The sequence below is a fragment of the Homo sapiens genome, chromosome 17, assembly GCF_000001405.40.
Source record: "Homo sapiens chromosome 17, GRCh38.p14 Primary Assembly".
In the NCBI taxonomy this organism is placed as follows: Eukaryota; Metazoa; Chordata; class Mammalia; order Primates; family Hominidae; genus Homo; species Homo sapiens.
Window position 1 is genome coordinate 1,415,804 of NC_000017.11, and position 24,014 is coordinate 1,439,817.

Below are 24,014 nucleotides of genomic sequence, written 5' to 3' on the forward strand. Positions count from 1 at the left end.
TTTTTTAGAGACAGGGTCTCACTGTGTTGCCCAGGCTGGTCTCGAACTCCTGAACTCAAGTGATTCTCCTGCCTCCGCTTGCAAAGTGTTAGGATTACCGGCATGAGCCATCACGCCCAGCAGGGATCATGAATTTGGCTTGGAATATGTTGAGTGTGAGGTGCCTTCACCACTTCCAAATGGAGACGTCCATCCAGCGAGAACTGATAGTTTTGTGTTTTTTTAACAGACGGGGTCTTGAGCCAGGCGCAGTGGCTCACGGCTGTAATCCTAGCACTTTGGAAGGCTGAGGCAGGTGGATTACCTGAGGTCAGGAGTTCAAGACTAGCCTGGCCAATACGGTAAAACCCCGTCTCTACTAAAAATACAAAAATTAGCTGGGTGTGATGGTGGGCGCCTGTAATCCCAGCTACTTGGGAGGCTGAGGCAGGAGAATTTCTTGAACCCAGGAGGCGGAGGTTGCAGTGAGGCAAGATTGTACCACTGTAGTCCAGCCTGGGTGACAGAATAAGACTCTGTCTCGGAAAAAAAAAAAAAGAAAAGAAAAAAAGAAAATACGATCAAGAACCTCACTTTGGCCAGGCGTGGTGGCTCAGGCCTGTAATCCCAGCATGTTTGGAGGCCAAGGCAGGTGGATCCTTTGAGACCAGCCTGGGCTACATAGCAACACCCCATCTCTTAAAAAATAGTAATTTTAAAAAACCTCAAAAATTAGCTGGGGATGGTGGTGTGCGCCTGTAGTCCCAGCTGCCTGGAAGGCTGAGAGGTGGGAGGATCGCTTGAGTCCAGGAGGCGGAGGTTTCTGTGAGCTGAGATCACGCCACTGCACTCCAGCCTGGGCAACAGAGTGAGACCCCATCTCAAACAAACAAAAAACAAAAAAAATCACATTCAGCCGGGAATGGCAGCTCACACAGATAATCCCAGCATTTTGGGAGGTTGAGGCAGGAGGATTACTTGAGCCTAGGAGTTCAAGAGCAGCCATAGCAAAACCCTCATCTCTACCAAAAATTAACAAACTAGCCAGGTGTGGTGGTGCGCAACTGTCGTCCCAGCTATTTTGGAGGCATAGGTGGGCAGATTGCTTGAGTCCCGGAGGTCCAGGCTGCGCTGAGTCCGGGTTGCACTGTTGCATCCCAGCCTGGGCAACAGTGAGTTTTGTCTCTCAAAAGAAACAAACAAAGGGCCGGGCATGGTGGCTCACGCCTGTAATCCCAGCACTTTGGGAGGCTGAGGTGGGCAGATCACAAGGTCAGGAGTTCAAGACCAGCCTGGCCAACATGGTGAAACCCCATCTCTACTAAAAATACAAAAAATTAGCCGGACGTGGTGGCACGCACTGGAATCCCAGCTACTTGGGACGCTGAGGCAGAAGAATCGCTTTAACCTGGGAGGTGGAGGTTGTGGTGAGCTGAGATGGCACCATTGCACTCCAGGCTGGACAACAGAGCAAAACTCCACCTCAAAAAAAAAAAAAAAAAAACAACACTCATCACATTCATTCCTTTTTTCTAAGTATCATAGATTTTTTGCGTGTTTGCTTTTTGAAACGGAGTCTGGTTCTGTCGCCCAGGCTGGAGTGTAGTGGTGTGGTCTTGGTTCACTGCAACCTCTGCCTCCCAGGTTCAAGAGAGTCTCCCACCTCAGCCTCCTGAGTAGCTGAGATTACAGGCATCCCCCACCATGCCCGGCTAATTTTATATTATTTATTTATTTTTGAGACAGTATCGCTCTGTTGCCCAGGCCGGAGTGCAATGGTGCGATCTCAGCTTACTGCAACCTCTGCCTCCCCGGTTGAAGTGATTCTCCTGCCTCAGCTTCCCGAGTAGCTGGGATTAAAGGCACCTGCCACCACACCTGGCTTTTTTTTTTTTTTTTTTGAGATGGAGTCTCACTCTGACGTCCAGGCTGGAGTGCAGTGGCGTGGTCTCGGCTCACTGCAAACTCCGTCTCCCAGGTTCAAGCCACTCTGCCTCGGCCTCCGGAGTAGCTGGGACTCAGGCGTCCGCCACTACACCTGGCTAGTTTTTTGTATTTTTAGTAGAGATGGGGTTTCACCGTGTTAGCCAGGATGGTCTCGATCTCCTGACCTCATAATCCACCCGCCTCGGGCTCCCACAGTTCTGGGATGAGGCGTGAGCCACCGCGCCCGGCCTGCTCTGTTTTTGAGCTTCACTTCTAGATGGCTAAAGGTTCTTTTTTGCCTCTACCTTATCTCCCATTTCACAGTCTTCAGAACATGGGTGGCAACAGCACGCCACTTTCTCCGCCTCTCCCTGTCAAACTTAGCAGGGTTAATGGTTATTTTCACATTTTCTTCTATACCGGCCCCCTCTCATCTTTTCATACCTGTAAGAGGAACAGAATTTAACCTGGAAGTCCAGGTCATAAAATACGACAGCTGGTATGAATACTGTAGACTATATAAAAGAACACGCCATTCAACAGGGTTTTTTTTGGTTTTGGGTTTTGTTTCAGACAGGGTCTTACCCTGTCGCTCAGGCTGGAGTGAAGTGGCACAATCTCACTGCACCGTCAGCCTCTTGGGTTCAAGCAACTCTTCTGCCTCAGCGGCCTAAGTGGCTGGGATTACAGGCGCACACCACCACACCCAGCTAATTTTTTTTTGTATTTTTAGTAGAGACAGTGTTTCACCACGTGGGCCAGGCTGGTTTCAAACTCCTGATCTCAAATGATTCCACCACCTAGGCCTCCCAAGTGCGAGGATTACAGGCATAAGCCACTGTACCTGGCCTGCTTTCAGGCCTTTATATGATTCTTATGGTCCCCTCAAATCAGTATTTTATGACTCATACTCATGGAGACCTTTAAAAATATCACCAGGCCAGAGGCCGGGCGCAGTGGCTCACGCCTGTAATTCCAGCACACTGGGAGGCCGAGGCGGGTGGATCACCTGAGGTCAAGAGTTCAAGACCAGCCTAGCCAACATGGTGAAACACCATCTCTACTAAAAATACAAAAATTAGCAGGGCCTGGTGGCGTGCACCTGTAATCCCAGCTATTCGGGAGGCTGAGGCAGGAGAATCGCTTATACCCGGGAGGCAAGGTTGGAGTAAGCTGAGATCACGCCACTGCCCTCCAGCCTGGGGCACAAGAGGAAAATTTTGTCTTGAAAAAAAAAAAAATCACGAGGCCAGGCGCGGTGGCTCACGCCTGTAATCCCAGTACTTTGGGGGGCCAAAGTGGATCACCTGCGGTCAGGAGGTTTGAGACCAGCCTGGCCAAAATGGTGAAACCCCATCTCTACTAAAAATACAAAAATTAGCCAGGTATGGTGGCACGTGCCTGTAATCCCAGCTACTCGGGAGGCTGAGGCAGGAGAATCGCTTGAACACAGGAGACAGAGGTTACAACGAGCTGAGATAGCGCCACTATACTCCAGCCTGCACAACAAGAGTGAAACTCCGTCCCCGCCCCCCACCCTGCGCCCCGCCAAAAAAAAAAAAAAAAAAAAAGGCCGGATACGGTGGCTCATCCCTGTAATCCTAGCACTTTGGGAGGCTGAGGCAGGCGGATCACCTGAGGTTGGGAGTTCCAGACCAGCCTGACCAACATGGAGAAATCCCGTTTCTACTAAAAATTCAAAATTAGCCGGGCATGGTGGCGCATGCCTGTAATCCCAGCTACTCGGGAGGCTGAGGCAGGAGAATTGCTTGAACCCAGGAGGTGGAGGTTGCAGTGAGCCAAGAACGCAGCACTACACTCCAGCCTGGGCAACAAGAGCGAAACTCCATCTCAACAAAAATAAATAAATAAATAATTAAAAAAAAATCTGTGTCTATATATATCACCATTGATTAATCCCATCTTTTTTTTTTTTTTCCCTGAGATGGAGTCTTGCTCTGTCACCCAGGCTGGAGTGCAGTGGCGTGATCTCGGCTAACTACAATCTCCACTTCACAGGTTCAAGTAATTCATCTGCCTCAGCCTCCCGAGTAGCTGGGACTATAGGTGCACGCCACAACGCCTGGCTAATTTTTGTATTTTATTGATTGATTAATTGAGACAGAGTCTCGCTCTGTTGCCCAGGCTGGAGTACGGTGGTGCCATCTTGGATCACTGCAAGCTCTGCCTCCCGGGTTCAAGCGATTCTCCTGCCTCAGCCTCCCGTGCAGCTGGGACTACAGGCGCGTGCCACCACGCCCGGCTAATTTTTCGTATTTTTAGTGGAGACCGGGTTTCACCATGTTAGCCAGGATGGTCTCGATCTCCTGACTTTGTGATCCACCCACCTCAGCCTCCTAAAGTGCTGGGATTACAGGCGTGAGCCATCATGCCCAGCCAGATTTTAGTATTTTTAGTAGAGACGGAGTTTCACTATGTTGGCCAGGCTGGTCTCGAACTCCTGACCTTCTGATCCGCTCGCCTCTGCCTCCCAAGGTGCTGGGATTACAGGCATGAGCCACCACACCCGGCCTAATCCCATCTTTAATAAGCACCCACTGAGCTTGTATAATTGTTTATCTAATTATATGACTGCAGGCTGCTGAAGGCACATACCTCCTATCCCCTAAGCATAAAGATTTACCTCTCGCTGGGTGCGGTGGTGGCTGAAGCCTGTAATCCCAGCACTTTAGGAGGCGGAGGCAGGCGGATCACCCGAGGTCAGGAATTTGAGACCAGCCTGGCTAACATGGTGAAACCCCATTTCTACTAAAAATACAGTAAATTAGCTGGGCGTGGTGGTGCATGCCTGTAACCCCAGCTACTCGGGAGGCAGAGGTAGGAGAATTGCTTGAACGTGGGAGGCGGAAGTTGCAGTGAGCCGAGATCGCATCACTGCACCCCAGCTTAGGTCACAAGAGCGAAACTCTGTCTCAAAAAAAAAAAAAGATTTAGTTCTTTTGTGAAAAATATTCAAAGATTACTTTTTTGCAAAAGATCACCAAGCCAAACATTTGGCCATATTTTTATTTACTACATATACTATAAACATATACAATACATGCTACCAAAAAAAATTTTTTTTTAAATTTAACTGTCAAGAAAGTGTATAGTGTTATAATACAATGGCACATGTTTATATTTTATTTCAAATTGGTTTGCTTATCACCTATTTCAAACCATTAACAGTGAAATGTTACTTGTGGATAATTAAAAATTATCTATTTGCATTATTAACAATAAACAATTCCAACAAATTAATAAGAATTAACCATGTCAAATATTAGTATTCAAAAAATGGGATTTGCAGAAATGATTATATAAAATATAGCAGCCAATTTCAGTTTACTTTGCCAATAGGATTTCAGCATTTGCTTTTTTTTGGAAGACACTTATAAGACATCCTTTGATTTCTTGAGGGGCATTAACTGCCACACTCAACAGTCAAATCCAGCCCAGTGGTTCATGAACGGCCCTGGATCACTGATCACTGAGGAATCCTTAGGACTTGAGTAGCGCTGCCTGTTCCACTGATATTACATATGATGAAAAGAGACATTACAAGCCAATATCAAAGTCAAAGGAAAAGAAAATAGGAACATTCAAATCAGTTGTGACAAGGTTTTTCTACAAGTATTTTTGATGCCATACTTTCAGGAAAACAAGATTTAATGTGTGTGTGGACTTTACAGTATCTACGTTCTAACTGAAAATTTAACAAAGCAGTCAGATGGAATTACATGTAGTATTACAAATGTGTTCATTCAACACTAATGAGCACCCACTCTGTGCATAGCACTGGGCTACCATTTTACAAGTTGAGTTTAACGTCTTTATCAAGCATGACCTTAGTGTGAGGTAAAATACATTAAATTAGCGTCAACGCGTTAGTCTGCTTGCGGCCATGTACGGAATCCTGGGCCAGCTGGCTTCCCTGTGCCACGTCACCGGTTTCTCAGGTCTCCTCATTCACTCAGACAAATACGTGCACACTGACTGTGTGTCAGACAGTGTGCCGGTCACTCGGACACCACAATCTGGTATAGGTTCAAAGAATGTAAATTTATCATTTTAACCTATGCAGAACAATTAGAAAGGCAGATTATTTTTCCAAAATGAGGTCCAAAGCAAACTATAAGGTGTTTCTATTGGTCATACCACACCAGAGACCGGTAAGTGCCTTTATAGACTGAGAACTAACGTGGAAGTTTCATGCTGTCGTCTAAATAGCCTAGGTCATTTTTGGTCTCATAGGTCTATTTTGTGGAGCACCTGACCCCATATAAATCATTCCATACTTAAATGGGTTTGTAAACTAAACCTGAACATAAACAAAGAGCCAAAAATGAAGGCAGTTTACAATGTAATGTTCTTCAACAGCATTACTCTCCCCATGAGAAATGAATAATACATAAGTAATTCACAATTGGTTCAACATTTTTTTTTCTTTTTTTTTTCCTTTTTTTTTTTTTTGAGACTGAGTCTTGCCCTGTCGCTCAGGCTGGAACGCAGTGGTGCGATCTCGGCTCACTGCAGCCTCCACCTCCCAGGTTGAAGCAATTCTCCTGCCTCAGCCTCCCGAGTAGCTGGGATTACAGGCGTGCACCACCACGCCGGGCTAATTTTTTATATCTTTAGCAGAGATGGGGTTTCACTATGTTGGCCAGGCTGGTCTCGAACTCCTGACCTCATGATCCACCCGCCTCGGCCTCCCAAAGTGCTGGGATTACAGACGTGAGCCACCGCGCCCAGCCGGTTCAACATTTTTTCAAAGCACTAACCCTACCCCAAATTCATGTAATACTAACTTGACTTTTATACAAGTTGCACAGAATGCAGAGGGCAGAATTTGACCCCAAAACCTTCCACAGAATATCAGAGGTGATTGGTCCTTCCACTCTTGAGTAGAACCTAAGAATTCCAAGAGTCTCCTAATAGGATACTGGCCCTCTGGAGAAATGGCCCTGCTGGATCCCATTAGTTAGGACTCTAGTTAGCTGCTGTAGAAGGGTGACCTACTACGACCCTTTTGGGGAAGGCAGAGAGCTGGGAGACTGGCTGTCCACTTAGTGAATCCAACACTGGCTTAAAGCTATGCACTGAATAAAGTGCTCGGTACATCCTGCTTTTCACCTGGAATGAAAATACACACTTATCTTAGGAATTCACCTACTTACAGGTTTGGGGGACAAGAATGTCAAGGGCTAAAAGAATCCCAAGAAAAAGTATGAAGCATTGACTAGGAGGGAACAAATGCTTCTAGTAGTGTTCTTAGAATTCTTAGGATCTGAAATGTCAGAATGAGTCACACGCTGGTCATGCTCCATACAATGAAAGCAATCCTGCTTGATACTATTCACACGGTGCATGATTACTTCACGGGGGTGGAACGGAACAGTCTGTCGCCATTTGATAGTATGGTTCCAGAATGAAAACAAAACCACTGAATAAATCAGGGTAAGCAGTGTGTAACACTCCTTCCTGTCCATCGGTTTTCCACAGGGTGATTTGCACTGCCTGAGAGAAAGGAGGCAAGATACCTATCCCTTCTGATACACACAGGCACGACCACTACCGCCTCCAATTGCCAATTCAGAAGCTAACACACAAGCCCTCCAGTTCGTACCCTGAATATGGTAATTAAGACTAGGAATGGAGCAGTTCAGTCTAAAAAATATCACAGGTAACAGAATGCTTATATAAACTAGACTGCTTTTGACATCTGTAAGAAAATTGTATAGATGGCAGTTGGAAAAAAAAAAAAAAGATTGTTCCCATCTGTCAGCAAAACTGTTGAACTATACTCAGCTGAAGTCCTCATCGGGATTCTGTTGATCCAGCAGACGGACATGTGTGAATGGGAAGTGACCTCGTTTGCCATTACACTCCCCTTCCCACTGACCACTCACATTAATCTTCGTAACCTTTACCAGCTCACCGACCTGCAGGAGGAGAATAAGGAGAGCACTTTATTTCCAGGTAGGAATGCAAGCTGAACAACTCCATTCTCTGGTTAGGCACACCCTGCCCATGTGACTGCTCTAGGGATATTACAGAAATGGCCATTTGCTGCCTCCCCAGCCCCAGCCACCAGACTGATTACTTGTGGTTAATGCAGGCAGAAGGAAAAGTGTTTTTAGCAGTGTGGAAAAACAGAGAATACAGAAAGTAAAAGGGATTCCAGATAATGATACTTTTTGATTAAAAAAGGAAAGTGATAATTATTGGAAATCTCAGCTGTCTCTGCATGAGCAATCCCAACTTCAGTGAGTTAGCTACTATTCCCTTTCTTTGTACTCACTACCCTCAGCTTTCTGCCTGCTCCGCAGGCCCTGTCCGAGGAGAAGCAGCTTTCTCCGTTTTTTTTTTTTTTTTTTTTTGAGACGGAGTCTCTGTCACCCAGGCTGGATGACAGTGGCGTGATCTCAGCTCACTGCAAGCTCTGCCTCCCAGGTTCGAGCAATTTTCCTGCCACAGCCTCCCGAGTAGCTGGGACTACAGGCGCCTGCCACCGTGCCCAGCTAATTTTTGTATTTTTAGTAGAGATGGAGTTTCACCATCTTGGCCAGGCTGGTCTCGAACTCCTGACCTTGTGATCCACCTGCCTTGGCCTCCCAAAGTGCTTGGATTACAGGCGTGAGCCACTGTGCCTGGCCGCCTTCTCCCCGCTTTAGCATATGGCAGCAGCACAATCCCCCAGCCCACTCGCACAAGACCTGGCCTGTTACTGCTTGCACAGCAGAAAGCGATCATGGCAAGCATAGGTCACTTGGTCCTAGAGAATCAAGTGTTCCTATCACCTCCTGACCCAGGCAAGCCTTTTCCCATATGGGCAGGTAGAGGCCAAAACTCCAGGTCCAATTAGCTCCCAGAAAACCCCCACCTCATTCAGTAAGCTCTACTTCACAAGCCACTGCCTGCCCAGCCCCCAAATCCCACCATCGGACAGACCTTGCTGCTCCCTCAAAGCCGCTTGTTACCTGATCATTACCCAATGAGGGGTCAAAAAAACCAACCATGGCCGGGCGCAGTGGCTGACGCCTGCAATCCCAGCACTTGGTGAGCCTGACACAGGTGGATGGATTGCTTCAGCTCAGGAGTTTTTGAGACCAGCCTGAGCAACATGGTGAAACCGTCTCTACAAAAAATACAAAAATTAGCTGGGTGTGGTGGTGGCTGCTCATAGAACCAGCTACTCGGGAGGCTGAGGTGGGTGGACTGCTTGAGCCCAGGAGGCAGAGGTTGCAGTGAGCCGAGATCACATCACTGCACTCCAGCCTGGGCAACAGAGCCAGATCCTGCCTCTAAAAACAAAAAAAAACCTTATGTTTTGGCATTTATTTATAAAATGTCTCTTGTTGCAAAATGAAATATAAAGGTTTTTTTTGTTTGTTTTTTTAAGACAGAGTCTCGATCTGTTGCCCAGGCTGGAGTGCAGTGGCGCTATCTCAGCTCACTGCAAGCTCTGCCTCCCGGGTTCACGCCATTCTCCTGCCTCAGCCTCCCTAGTAGCTGGGACTACAGCCGCCCGCCACCACGCCCAGCTAATTTTTTGTATTTTGTTTAGTAGAGATGGGGTTTCACCATGTTAGCCAAGATGGTCTCGATCTCCTGACCTCGTGATCCGCCCGCCTCGGCCTCCCAAAGTGCTATGATTACAGGTGTGAGCCACCACGCCTGGCCATCTTTTTATCTTTTGTTTTTGAGACAGGGTCTCACTCTGTCACTCAGGCTGGAGAGCACTGACACCATCATGGCTCACTGCAGCCTGTAACTCTTGGGCTCATGGGATCCTCCAACCTTAGCCTCCCGAGTAGCTGAGACTACAGGTGCACGCCACCATGCCCAGCTAATTACAGGCATGAGCCTCCACACCATTTATGCATTTCATACAGTATCAGGAACTTTCAAATTATGCATCTGGGCTTGTACTGGGTTCCCTAAAAATGTACGCAGGCACATCTACTGGCCAAAGCCAACGTAAGTCCAGCCGCAGGGCCTCTTCCAGGCCCAGCCTGACCTCACTTACAGATGGAACAGCTTGCCTATTGGCCCCTCTGTTGTTTCCTGAAGAACTCTCTAAAAATTACAGAGGCCTGAAGTCACTGTATGGGTCATAGGATGCTGAGAAAAGGAGGGACAGAAAGAAGGGGATAGAGAGACACATAAGACACAGAGGTTGAGAAAAAAATAGCAGCAGGCTTGGTGCAGTGGCTCATGCCTGTAATCCCAGCACTTTGGGAAACTGAGGTGGGGGGATGGCTTGAGCCCATGATTTTGAGAGCAGCCCTGGCAAAAGAGTGAGATCTTGTCTCTACAAAAAAATTTAAAAAGCCAAGTGTGGCCAAGCGTGGCCAAGCGTGCTGGTGTGCGCCTGTGGTCCCAGTTACTTGGGAGGCTGAGGTAGGAGGTCACCTGAGCCTCCTGGGAGGTCAAGGCTGCCCCCTAGCCTGGGCAACAAGACCCTGTCTGCAAAAAAAGAGAAAACCAAGCAGCTAACCCAGCCTGTGTCGTGACAATGCCGGCTGAGCACACGTGTGGAGGAAGGAGAGGAAGGGATGATGGCCCAGCCTGTGTCGTGACGATGCCAGCTGAGCACAAGTGTGGAGGAAGGGGAGGAAGGGATGATGGCATGCCTATCCTTACACACAGGTAACAATCCTCACAGGTTGCTGTCACCAGGACTCTCACCACACCTGGCCTGCCAGCAATTTTAGAATTCAACGTTTCTCACATCTGGGCAGGGTGCTGTGGGGCTCACGTCTTTAATCCCAGCACTTTGGGAGGCGAGGTAGGAGGATCACTTGAGCTCAGGAGTTCAAGACCAGCCTGGGCACCATAGTGAAACCTCATTTCTACAAAAAATAAAAAAATTGGCTGGGCGTGGTGGCGCACGCCTATAATCTCAGCACTTTGGGAGGTCGAGGTGAGTGAATCACGACGTCAGGAGTTCAAGACCAGCCTGGCCAAATTGGTGAAACCCCGTCTCTACTAAAATACAAAAATTAGCCAGGTGTGGTGGCAGGCGCCTGTAATCCCAGCTACTTGCGAGGCTGAGGCAGTGAACTGCTTGAACCTGGGAAGAGGAGGTTGCAGTGAGCCGAGACTGTGCCACTGCACTCCAGCCTGGCCAACAGAGTTACACTGTCTCAAAAAATAAAATAAATAAATAAATTAGCCAGGCATAGTAGTGTGCGCCTGTGGTCCCAGCTACTCAAGAGGCTGACATGGGAGGATCACTTGAGCCCGGGAGGCAGAGATTGCAGTGAGCCAAGATAGTACCAGTGCACTCCAGCCTGGGCGACAGAGCAAAACTGTCTCCAAAAAAAAAAAAAAAAAAAAAAAAAAAAAAAAAAAAAAAAAAGATTCTGACATGCCCCAGCCAGGCTAGGCAACAATAGCAAGACTGTGTCTCTTGAAAAAAAAAAAAAAATTAGTAAGGTATCATCGTATGCACCTGTAGTTCCAGTTACTCAGGAGGCTGAGGCAGGAGGATCACTTGAGCCTGGGAGTTTGAGCTGTAGCAAGCCAAGTGCACCACTGCACCCCACCCTGGTGGAGAGACCAAGATTCTGTCTCCAAAAAAAAAAAAAAAAGAATCTTGGCCGGGCGCGGTGGCTCACGCCTGTAATCCCAGCACTTTGGGAGGCTGAGGGCGGCAGATCATGAGGTCAGGAGATCCAGACCATCCTGGCTAACACGGTGAAACCCCGTCTCTACTAAAAATACAAAAAATTAGCCAGGCGTGCTGGCGGGCGCCTGTAGTCCCACCTACTCGGGAGGCTGAGGCAGGAGAATGGTGTGAACCCAGGAGGCGGAGCTTGCAGTGAGCCGAGATCACGCCACTGCACTCCAGCCTGGGTAACAGAGCGAGACTCAGTCTCAAATAAATAAATAAATACCTCAATGTTATATTGTCTTTATTCTTTTTGTTTGTTTGAGAGAGAGTCTCACTCTGTCACCCAGGCTGGAGTGCAGTGACGCTATCTTGGCTCACTGCAACCTCCACCTGCCAGGTTCAAACAATTCTCCTGCCTCAGGCTCTCAAGTAGCTGGGACGACAAGCACAAGCCACCATGCCCAGCCAGTACTTTTTTCGTATTTTTAGTAGAGACGGGGTCTCACCATGCTGGGCAGGCTTGTCTCGAACTCCTGACCTCATGACCCGCCCACCTCGGCTTCCCAAAGTGCTGGAATTACAGGCATCAGCCACCGCGCCCAGCCTATATTGTCTTTATTCTTAAGCATTCATACTGCAGTCTCAAATCACATCCCACAAAGCTCTAAGAGGTGAAGGGTAGGTTGAAAAGTGGACCAGCCCCACCCCTTGCTGTTAACACAGAACCATACCAATTTCTCAAAATGTGGGGCAAAACCTGCTAATGTGCCTCCAGATCTTTTCTTTCAGACTTTTTTTTTTTTTTTTTTAATGGAGTTTTTGCTCTTGTCACCCAGGCTGGAGTGCAGTGGTACGATGCTGGCTCACTGCAACCTCCGCCTCCAGGATTCAAATGATTCTCCTGCCTCAGCCTCCAGAGTAGCTGGGACTACAGGCGCCCGCCACCACGCCCAGCTGATTTTTGTATTTTTAGTAGAGATGGGGTTTCACCATGGTGGGCAGGATGGTCTCGATCTCCTGACTTCATGATCTGCCTACCTCGGCCTCCCAATGTGCTGGGATTACAGGTGTGAGCCACCGTGCCAGCCCTTCTTTCAGACTTCTAAGGGATAAATGAGTAGGGATTTCTATGAGGCAAGATGTTATTGGGGAAAGGAACTATGTGTAAATTAGACCTTTGGACCATATCAGATCTTTTTTTTTTTTTTTTTTTTGAGACAGCGTCTCACTCTGTTGCCCTGGCTAGAGTACAGTGGCATGATCTCAGCTCACTGCAACCTCTGCCTCCCAGGTTCAAGTGATTCTCCTGCCTCAGCCTCCTGAGTAGCTGGGACTACAGGCATGTGCCACCACGCCCTGCTAATTTTTGTATTTATAGTAGAGATGGGGTTTCACCATATTGGCCAGGCTGGTCTTGAACTCCTGACCTCGTGATCTGCTCACCTCAGCCTCCCAAAGTGCTGGGATTACAGGCGTGAGCCACCACGCCCGGCTCAGAACTATCTTTAATGTACAGATTCTCTCTCTTTTTTTTTTAGATGGAGCCTCACTCTTGTCACCCAGGCTGGAGTCCAGTGGCGCAATCTCAGCTCACTGCAACCTCCGCCTCCTGGGTTCAAGCGATTCTCCTGCCTCAGCCTCCTGAGTAGCTGGGATTACTGGCGCACGCCACCACGTCCGGCTAATTTTTTCGCATTTTTAGTAGAGATGGGGTTTCACCATGTTGGCCAGGCTGGTCTCCAACTCCTGACCTCAGGTGATCCGCCCACCTTGGCCTCCCAAAGTGCTGGGATTACAGGTGTGAGCCACCGTGCCCAGCCAGATTCTCTTGGATCTACCCTGCAGAGGAAAACCATGCCAAAATCTAAAACTTTTTTTTTTACACCGGGTACGCTGGCCTGCACCTGTAGTCCCAGCTACTTGGGAGACTGAGGGGAGAGGAACCCTTGAGTCCAGGGTTTTTTTTTCTTTTTGAGACACTGTATTGATCTCTCACCCAGGCTGGAGTGCAGTGGCACAATCTTGTCTCATTGCAAACTCCGCCTCCTGGAGTCTTGTGCCTTAGGCTCCCAAGGACCTGGGATTATAGGCGCCCGCCACCATGCTCAGTTAATTTTTGTATTTTTAGTGGAGACCAGGTTTCACCACATTGGACAGTCTGGTATGCAACTCCTGACTTCAAGTGATTTGCCCAACTCGGCCTCCCAAAGTGCTGGGATTATAGGCATGGGCCACCTTGCCCAGCTGAGCCCAGGAGTTTGAGGCCTTCCTCAGCAGCACAGTGAAACTCTGTCTCTCTTAAAAAAAAAAAAAAGAGGCCAGACGCAGTGGCTCACACCTATAATCCCAGTGCTTTGTGAGGCCCGAGCAGGAGGAAGATTGCCTGAAGCCAGGAGTTCAAGATCAGTCTAGGTTACAAAGCAAGACTCCATTTCTACAAAATTAAAAGTACAACATTAGCCAGGTACAGTGGAATGTGCCTGTAGTCCCAGCTACTTGGGAGGCTGAGGTAGGGGGATCACAAGCCCAGGAGTTTGGGGCTGCAGTGAGCTACAACTGGGCACCCTTGCTTGGGGAACAGAGCAAAGCCTGATCTCAAAAAAAAAAAAGAGAAAAACAACCAAAAACACGAATCTTTTCTTTACAGATGATTAGGTTTTTGGCAGACAGGTTCAAATATACGGAGATGAGATAATGGCTATGCCATAACTCAAATGATTTTTTTTTTTTTTTAAAGACAGAGTTTCGCTTTTGTTGCCCAGGCTGGAGTGCAGTGGCACAATCTCAGCTCACTGCAACCTCCACCTCCCGGGTTCAAGTGATTCTCCTGCCTCAGCCTCCCACGTAGTTGGGATTACAGGCGTGTGCCCCCACGCCTGGCTAATTTTGTCTTTTTCATAGAAATGGAGTTTCAAAATGTTAGTCAGGCTGGTCTCGAATTCCTGACCTCAGGTGAAGAGTTCACCCACCTCGACCTCCCAAAGTGCTGGGATTACAGGCGTGAACCACTGTACCTGGGCTCATTCTGATTATTAGTATTATTTTTTGAGACAGAGTCTCGCTCTGTCGCCCAGGCTGGAGTGCAGTGGCGCGATCTTGGCTCACTGCAAGCTCCGCCTCCCGGGTTCACGCCATTCTCCTGCCTCAGCCTCCCGAGTACCTGGGACTACAGATGCCCGCCACCACGTCCGGCTAATTTTTTGTATTTTTTTTTTTTTTAGTAGAGATGGGATTTCACAGTATTAGCCAGGATGGTCTCCATTTCCTGACCTCGTGATCCGCCCGCCTTGGCCTCCCAAAGTGCTGGGATTACAGGCGTGAGCCACCACACCCAGCCTGATTCTGATTTTTAAACGGATAAAGAAAATTTGTAAGCAATCAATTGGGCTAATTAACCTGACCAACGTGGCTTTGAAGTAAAAATACCTCAAGGAAGACCTTGTTAAAATTAACCCTATGGCCGGGCGCTGTGGCTCATGCCTGTAATCCCAGCACTTTGGGAGGCCGAGGTGGGTGGATCACGAGGTCAGCAGATCGAGACCATCCTGGCTAACACGGTGAAACCCCGTCTCTACTAAAAATACAAAAAAATTAACCGGGCGTGGTAGCAGGCGCCTGTAGTCCCAGCTGCTAGGGAGGCTGAGGCAGGAGAATAGCGTGAACCCTGGAGGCGGAGCTCGCAGTGAGCCGAGATCACGCACTGCACTCCAGCCTGGGCGACAGAGTGAGACTCCGTCTCAAAACAAACAAACAAACAAACAAACAAATTAACCCTTTGTGCTTTTTGGGGCCTTTCTCCTGAAACGTTTAGAGCACATGAAAATGCTCCTGAGGTCCCAAAGGCACTATGATGATATTTAGAGACCAGGTCTTCCTGTGGTGCCACATGTGGCCTTAGGTCTTTAACAGTCTGGAGGAAGGAGTGGCTGCTGACTCTGGCTGGAGGAGGGCAGAGGAAGAAGGCCGGAGGGGGTGGGGCATTCTAAGAACATTTTGCTCCAGTAAATGCAGTTCTTCCTCCAATTCAGAAACAAAGTCAGAACTGTGCTTCCACCTGTTAATTCACTAAAGCATAATTCCCAAAGATCAGATCAGGGAAGGTGAGGGGTATCATACCGGGGCGGTGGCTCACGCCTGTAATCTCAGCACTTTGGGAGGCAGAGGGGAGTGGGTCACGAGGTCAGGAGATCGAGACCATCCTGGCTAACACAGTGAAACCCCATCTCTACTAAAAATACAAAAGAAAAAAAAAAGAAACTTGGTGTACTAGTTTTTTTTGAGGCAGAGTCTCACTCTGTCGCCTAGCCTGGACTGCAGTAGCGCAATCATAGCTCACTCCAGCCTTGACCTCCCAGGCTGAAGCCATCCTCCCATCTCAGTCACTAGAGTATCTGGGACTACAGGCATGTGCACCACACTTGGCTAATTCTTGTAATGATGGGTTTCACCATGTTGACCAGACTAGGGTGTACTACTTCAAATACAAAGGTGAAACCGAGTGCTTGCCCCAGAACTGTTACAATCTGACAATACAAAGGAATGTACTAATCAGTGAATGTAGTAATAACAGTAGTTCTAACACTACTGATTTCAAAATTCAAGTTATAAATAGGAAAGAAAAATCCTAATATGAATTACCAATGAACAACAAAGACTTCATACAGGACTTGAAGTACTACAAGGTAGTTAACCTTTCTTTCCAAGAGGGAGACCTCACTACAGCAAAGAGACTGATGAGTCTCACCACAGAGGAACTGTTTTACTGTCCAGGCTGGTCCTCAGCCTCCTCATCCTGTAACACATTCTTAGGAGCTTCTTACAGCTCTGTGGGATGGGATTTGAGACTGCACTCTGAATGTTTAAGAATAAAGACAACATAGGCCAGGCGGGGTGGCTCATGCCTATAATCCCAGCACTTTGGGAGGCTGAGGCAGGCGGATCGCTTGAGGCCAGGAGTTTGAGACTAGCCTGGCCAATGTGGCGAAATCCCATCTCTACTAAAAATAAAAAAATTAGCCAGGCGTGGTGGTGGATGCCTGTAATCCCAGCTACCCGGGAGGTTGAGGCACGAGAATCACTTGAACCCAGGAGGCAGAGTGAGATCACGCCACTGTACTCCAGCCTGGGTGACAGAGTGAGACCTTGTCTTAAAAAAAAAAAAAAAAAAAGGCCAGGCGCGGTGGCTCACGCCTGTAATCCCAGCACTTTGGGAGGCGAAGGCAGGTGGATCACGAGGTCAGGAGGTCGAGACCATCCTGGCTAACACGGTGAAACCTCATCTCTACTAAAAATATAAAAAATTAGCCAGGCGTGGTGGCGGGCGCCTGTAGTCCCAGCTACTTGGGGGGCTGAGGCAGGAGAATGGCATGAGCCCAGGAGGCGGAGCTTGCAGTGCGCCGAGATCACGCCACTGCACTCCAGCCTGGGCAACAAAGCGAGACTCCGTCTCAAAAAAAAAAAAAAAAGAAAAGAAGAACAAAGACAATATAAGATTGAGGTATTTAAACAGAGTTTGCTATCAAGTAGAATGGTGGACTTAAGACTATATCCTAAAGAACCACAATCCACAAAACACCTAGAAAAGTTGACTAAAATATAACAAGCATCCTTTCATCTTCACTTTTTTAGGAAGCAAGTCCCGGCTGTATCATGGAGTCATTCATAAAGAAGACTGAATGTGGTTACTACAGTTTCTTTGCTCCCAAGGAACGTAACAAACACTGGCTATTCCCTAGCTCTGTGTCGTTTTCAAGGCTAATCGATCCTGGTGCAATCAGATCTAGAATTGGTACAGGAACAAAAGATTACCCAGCTGATCAATGCGTTCCAGAGATAATGAGAACAAAATCAGAACCCAAATGGTATCAATGTTTGGAATTCACTACACAGGGGACATCACAGAACTGGTTTTCTTTGCTGGCGCAAACCCAGGTGACTGCTTTTCTAGGTCCCTACTACCAACCAGCAGCACATCACTGACTGCTAACATGCCTTGATCCAGACTTGCTTTCAGTGAGCTCAGGGCAGGAAGCACACACAAATTCATACACACAAAACCAGGGAAGAGCAAGTACAGAGAGGCAGCACAGGAGCCTTCTCTTCCAACCTCCTAGGCTCAAGCAGTTTTCCTACCTCAGCCTCCCAAGCAGCTGAGACCACAGGTGCACACCACCACGCCTGGCTTTTTTTTTTTTTTTTTTTTTTTTTTGAGATGGAGTTTCACTCTTGTTGCCCAGGCTGAAGTGCTATGGCACGATCTCAGCTCACTGAAATCTCTGCCTCCCGGGTTCAAGTGATTCTCCTGTCTTAGCCTCCCGAGTAGCTGGAATTACAGGCGCCCACCACCACGCCTGGCTAATTTTTGTATTTTTAGTACAGACAGGGTTTCATCATATCGGTCAGGCTGGTCTCAAACTCCTGATCTCAGGTGATCTGCCTGCCTCAGCCTTCCAAAGTGCTGAGATTACAGGCGTGAGCCACCGCACCCAGCATGTATGGTTTTTTTTTTTTTTTTTTTTTTAGATCACCTGGCTAATTTTTAAAAACATTTTTTGTAGAGACCGGATCTCACCATGTTGCCCAGGCTGGTTTCAAACACCTGGACTCAAGCGATCCTCCCACCTCAGCCTCCGAAAGTGCTGGGATTACAGGCGTAAGTCACAGCACCTGGCCAAACATCAGCCTGTTGTTTTTGCAGCTTTATTGGAACACAGCAAGCTCATCTGTTGTTTTATCTATGATTTCCTTCTTGCTACAATGGCAGAGTTGGGACACAGAATTTAAGGCCCTCAAAAACCTTTACAGAAAAGGTTTGCAGACCCCTGATCTAAGTAACAGGTAGTGTATCTAGGGCCCATCGACAGTCTTTCAAATTGATGGAAACAAATGAGGACAATTCAGCCTTAACAATTCACCTGCATCAGAGATGGACTGAAACTGGCATGGGTAGTATTGGTGGAAAGCTGCCAGTGTTTGAGATTTAACAGTCCACATGAACAGAAAAAACATCCCACAGAATCCTGGGAGATAGGCCTTACCCTGGTTCTGGTGTGAGTCACAAAGATCTCTAGCTCAACTGATAATGCCTGAAGCTAAGCTCCCCATACCCTTGATGAGCGGTGACCACACATAGTACATATGTTTTAGCTCAACATAAAGACATTTCTAGAAATTGGCCAGGCACGACAGCTCACACCTGTAATCCCAGCACTTTGGGAGGCTGAGGCGGGTGGATCACCTGAGGTCAGGAGTTTGAGACCAGCCTGGCCAACAAGGTGAAACCCTGTCTCTACTAAAAATACAAAAATTAGCCAGGCACAATGGGGTATGCCTGTAATCCCAACTACTCAGGAGACTGAGGCAGGGGAATCACTTGAACCTGGGAGGCGGAGGTTGCAGTGAGCCGAGATCGTGCCATTGCACCCCAGCCTGGGCGATGGAGTGAGATTTCGTCTCAAAAAGAACCAAAAAAAAAAAAAAAAATCCAAAAAAACCCAATACCCAAATCAAAAAGGAAAACTTACTAAAATCATAAAACTAGTTTTCTACTCAAATCTTTATTTAATGAGATTTGTGTTTCACAGCAGGTAGAGAAGCTCAACCATTTTTTTGAGCAGTAAAGCCTCTAATTAAGGCAGGCATGATTAAATCTCTGAGAAAGGAAATGCAAATAGAAGCAAAATTCACATGATAACTGGTTTCTCCTGGGTCAGCTGGCTTGTTCCATGGCTTTTTTTCTTTTTCTTTTTTTGAGACAGAGTCTCACCCTGTCGCCCAGGCTGGAGTGCAGTGTCATGATCTCAGCTCACTTCAGCCATGACCTTTCAGGCTCAGGTGATCCTCCCTCCTCAGCCTCCCAAGTAGCTGGGACCACAGGCACGTGCCACCATGCCCAGCTAATTTTTTGTAGAGATGGTGTTTTGCCATGTTGCCTAGGCCGGTCTCCAACTCCTGAGCTCAAGTGATCTGCCCACCTCGGCCTCCCAAGGTGCTGGGATTACAGGTATGAGCCACACGCCCAGCCTTTGTTCCATGTTTTCATACTTACTTCAACCCAGTGCTAATAAAGTCTGTAATAAATGTCAAGAGTTACATCTAGTGACTCAGTAAGGCCAGATAAAAATAAAAAAAAGCAGAGAGGAAAAAAAAAAAAGAAAATAAAAAGGAGTAAGATCCATCATACACACAGCACCATGCCAGATGTTACCGTCATCTGAACTCACAGGAAGACCTGAGGGTAGAAATCTATTTTCCTCCAAACAGGGAATGGGAACAAGAGGCAGTGATAACTCTGACAACATACATTCCATTTCTCATTCAAGCCAGGACTGCAGGTGCATGCCACCACGCCTGGTGATTTTTTTTTTTCACTTTTTGTTAAAAAAAGCTGAGGTCTATGTTTCCCAGACTGGTCTTGAACACCTGGTCTCAAGTGGTCTTCCTGCCTTAGCCTCCCAGAGCACTAGGATTACAAGTGTGAGCCACTGTGCCCAGTCTGTACTAGCTTTTACACTGAACCATCAATTCTTCTGAAAAGAAAGGAAGGGAGAGAGGGAGGAAGGAAGAAGAAAGGAAGGAGGTAGGAGAGCAAGGTGTGAGCGTGGAAGAGAGGAATAAAGGAATTAACACCATGTAATGGCTGGCCAGAAGGAAGTGGGCTGCCAAAGATATTTCATCAGTAAAGGCAAAAATTAATTCCTGAGGAAGAACTGGCTTTTTGAATGATTTAGAAAGACCCGTGCACCTGCCACTCCTCGGAATGAGGACTTCTGGGTGTGCATCTCTTCAAACCTCTACTAGGCCTATTTCCTCCCGGATTCTACTCAATGAACATTAGTGGTAAGGAACTTCAAGTCCCCTGAAGCAAAAACAAGTTTTTGCGGGAAAATTCCATTTAAGTGCTTTGATAGAGACCACTTATTACACTCAAATCCATCTGAACCCACCTTCTTTTAGACAACGACAAACAGAAAGCAAGAAACAGATGAGGATGTAGATGAGGAAAAACATTTGAGGTTAATTCCTGTGAATTCAGGTGGTGTTATTAAAGTAGTCCAAGTGTGTTTAGTAGATCAATTAAGAACATTCAGTTATACAGTTTTAAGCTTACTCATTCCCAAACAGGTTTTCTATGAAGAAGAGAAAACCCAACATTCAATGCCAACATCAGTGCTTAGCGGCTTGCCATCTACAACATCCCAATGCTGTAGTCAGCATTGCTACAAAGCTCTAAGAGGACCGAGAGGAGACCCTGCAGCAGATCTCTTCTTTCTACATTGTGCACGTTATGTACCTCCAAAGCCAAGGCTGTCTTGTCGTAGGCATTGGGGACTCGCTTCTGGATAACCCTGGCATATATGGGCCCATTCTGGAGGTTAGGGAGCGGAGTGTTGACGCTGGGTTGGGCATAGGGCCCAGGCTCCGGCCCACCCAGTGGCTGTGGGTGGGAACCCTCCTGGTTACCTCCAATCAGAGCCGATACTGAGGCGGAGGCAGGTCTATACTTCTCGACGTAAGGGACTGGAATCATCCCTCTCTTGCCTTCGCTGTCCTCCGCATTCCACCACTGCTCTTCAGGCTTGTCCCGGATTCTCAAGATGTCTCCTTTCTTAAAGGGAAGATCTTCCTCATCATTCCCATTAAAGTCAAAGAGGGCTCGCACATACTCCGCCTCCTCCTGCCTGAGAATCACTCCACTACCCTGCCTGGATCTGGAAACTGGTTCTATCAACGTTGTAGTGTCCAAATAGTGTATTTTGTAGAATTCCAGTAAAGCAGGCAATGAATCAAACTCTTGATCTCCTATTCGGAGTCTGGAGGGGCTCACCCCTGGAAAAAACAGAGCAGGCTGTTATTTAATGATGTACTACACTGGAAATGAAATGCAGATTTTATTTTTATTTTTTTTAGAGTTGGGATCTCACTATGTTACCCAGGCTGGTCTTGACCTCCGGGGCTCAAGTGATCCTCTCACCACAAACTCCTGAGTAGCTGGGACTACAGGAGCCCACCACTGTGCCTGGCCGAAATGGAGCTTTCATGCATGCCTCATACACATTTAGTCAAGATTTAATCAGCAAAAAAAACTCTAGAAAAAATAACCCCTTCTCTTCACAGCACACCAACATCACATTTGGAAGCTGAAACATCCCCTGGGAAGAAAGATGCCCATCACTACAGCCCCAGGGAAGGATGAGGAGGCCAGGAGACTAGGCTGATCAGGACGTGCTCTCATACTTGATCAACGACGGGGGCTTTCACTGCATTCTCCAAATATGTTCTGTCGCTACCCCATTTACAGAGCAGTGTAAGCCTCAAGGTTCTGTTGCATGTTTTTTTTTTTTTGAGACCAAATCTCACTGTGTCGCCCAGGCTGGAGTGTAGTGGCGTGATCTCTGCTCACTGCAACCTCTGCCTCCCGGGTTCAAGCGATTCTCCCGTCTCAGCCTCCTGAGTAGCTAGGATTACAGGCTCCCACCACCATGACAAGCTAATTTTTTTTTTTTTTTTTGTATTTTTAGTAGAGACGGGGTTTCACCATGTTGGCCAGGCTGGTCTCAAACTCCTGATCTCAGGTGATCCACCCACCTCAGCCTCCCAAAGTGCTGGGATTACAGGTGTGAGCTACTGCGCCTGGCCTGCATCTACTTTTCAACCTCAGGAAATGTAGCAAGCTCTTGTTTTTCATGGGTCCCTGCTGCTGTTCAGAAGGTGGAGAGAGCTTGTGTCTGCACTGAGCTCACACATTTTTTCTCTTCACATCTAGAATGTATAATTCCGAAGAAGAAAAACTATCTCTTGTTGTGGTTTTCGTTGTTTTTGGGACAGAGTCTCGCTGTGTCGCTCAAGCTGGAGTGCAGTGGCACAATCACAGCTTACTGCAGCCTTGACCTCCCAGGCTCAAGTAATCCTCCCACTTCAGCCTCCTGAGCAGCTGGGACTACAGGCACGCTCAACCATATCTGGGTAATTTTTAAATATTTTGTAGAGATGGGGTTTCACTATGTTGCCCAGGCTAGTCTCAAACACCTGGGCTCAAGCAATCCTTCGGCCTCAACCTTCCAAAGTGTTGGGATTACAGGGATGAGCCACAGTGCCTGGCCTCTGGTATCTTTTTAAATCTAAGATAGGTGATCTCAATTTTATCTTTGACAGCTAAAAGGTAAAAGAACCAAGAAGCTGAACTGAAAAACTAAGGGGCTAACTGCTTAAAAATCAATTCCCGAGATCGTAAATAAAACAGAAACTAGACTGTTCGCTATGAAGCAAACAGGTCATTAAAAAAAAAATGCTTGGGGAAATAAAGGGTTAAAACACTCAACATCTGATAACACACTGAGGATCCAGAGAAAGAACATATTACAAACGCTTAAAATTCCTAAGACACGAGTGTGTATGGTGGCCCTACATACCATAGTTCAGAATGGATTTATTCTATGCTGAGATTCTAAAACTCAAGGAAAATAAATGAACACAGTCAAACAAAACGAGTAAATTCAAACAAGAGTCAAAGTTTCTTTAAAAAAAAAAAAATGAGTCAGGGTTTTGCTGTGTCACGCAGGCTGGAGTGCAGTGGCATGATCATAGCTAACTGCAGCCTCAGCCTCAAGCAAGCCTCCCACCCAGCCTCACGAATAGCTTCAAATACAGGCACACGCCACCACGCCCGGCTAATTTTTGTATTTTTTGTAGAGATGGGGTTTCACCACGTTGCCCAGACTGGTGAACTCCCGGGATTGTTAGGATTTCGGCTTCCCCAAGTTTTGGGATCATAGGTGTGGGACACCACGACGGAGTCTCGCTCTGTCCCCCAGGCTGGCGTGCAGTGGCACAATCTCGACTCAGTGCAAGCTTCGCCTCCCGGGTTCACGTCATTCTCCTGCCTCAGCCTCCCGAGTAGCTGGGACTACAGGCACCCGCCACCATGCCTGGCTAATTTTTTTTGTATTTTTAATAGAGACGGGGTTTTACCGTGTTAGCCAGGATGGTCTCGATCTCCTGACCTAGTGATCCACCCGCCTCGGCCTCCCAAAGTGCTGGGATTGATTACAGGTGTGGGCCACTGCACCCGGCCACAAAGTTTCTAATTAGGAATGCAAACCTTTAACTCCCACTCGGCTAAGCACCCAAAACAGCAAACTATTTTCATTGGATTTTTCACATTATGGTTTCCTGAAGAAGTAATAAACAACTCTCTAATAATAACAACTAGTAAACATTCTCCATAGAGAATGAGTTTTAGCTGGGCACGGTTGCTCACATCTCTAACCCCAGCACTTAGGGAAGCTGAGGCAGGTGGATCCCTGGAGCTCAGGAGTTCAAGACCAACCCGGGCAACATGGCTGTCACTGCAAAAAACTTAAAAAATTAGCTGGGCATGGTGGCACACTTTTGTAGTCCCAGCTACTCAGGACACTCAGGTAGGGGGATGGCTTGAGCCTGGAAGGTCAAGGCTACAGTGAGCCATGATCACGCCACTGCACTCCAGCCT

General features: G+C 47.5%; 1 protein-coding gene and 1 long non-coding RNA gene across 3 annotated transcripts in view, besides 3 other annotated features; one reads left to right on the plus strand and one right to left on the minus strand.

The window, feature by feature from the left end:
- Positions 4,890-24,014, minus strand: part of CRK (CRK proto-oncogene, adaptor protein) — a 35,540-nt gene continuing 16,415 nt past the window's right edge. Inside the window, exons 2-3 of one of the 2 annotated variants that reach the window (NM_005206.5) lie at positions 20,987-21,352; positions 4,890-7,847 (exon numbers count right to left, since the gene is read on the minus strand). In NM_005206.5, the coding sequence (NP_005197.3) occupies positions 7,840-7,847; positions 20,987-21,352 (374 nt within the window). In that variant the 3' untranslated portion in view covers positions 4,890-7,839. Of the gene's footprint in view, positions 7,848-20,816; positions 21,353-24,014 lie in introns of both variants that reach the window. The other variant, NM_016823.4, reaches the window with a different exon arrangement.
- On the plus strand, positions 8,783-8,862 carry CRK-AS1 (CRK antisense RNA 1). The gene has a single exon (NR_198965.1). It is a non-coding gene; the product is annotated as a CRK antisense RNA 1 (long non-coding RNA).
- Positions 16,247-16,747: an enhancer, noted in NCBI's record as "H3K4me1 hESC enhancer chr17:1335344-1335844 (GRCh37/hg19 assembly coordinates)". NCBI's record gives its function as "activates a minimal SCP1, AML or CMV promoter by ChIP-STARR-seq in primed H9 embryonic stem cells {active_cell/tissue: H9 hESC(primed)}" and the evidence as "EXISTENCE:reporter gene assay evidence [ECO:0000049][PMID:30033119]".
- Positions 16,748-17,248: an enhancer, noted in NCBI's record as "H3K4me1 hESC enhancer chr17:1335845-1336345 (GRCh37/hg19 assembly coordinates)". NCBI's record gives its function as "activates a minimal SCP1, AML or CMV promoter by ChIP-STARR-seq in primed H9 embryonic stem cells {active_cell/tissue: H9 hESC(primed)}" and the evidence as "EXISTENCE:reporter gene assay evidence [ECO:0000049][PMID:30033119]".
- Positions 22,952-23,246: an enhancer, noted in NCBI's record as "tiled region #4720; HepG2 Activating non-DNase unmatched - State 18:Pol2, and K562 Activating DNase matched - State 5:Enh". NCBI's record gives its function as "activates a minimal TATA promoter and a strong SV40 promoter by Sharpr-MPRA in HepG2 and K562 cells {active_cell/tissue: HepG2 | K562}" and the evidence as "EXISTENCE:reporter gene assay evidence [ECO:0000049][PMID:27701403]".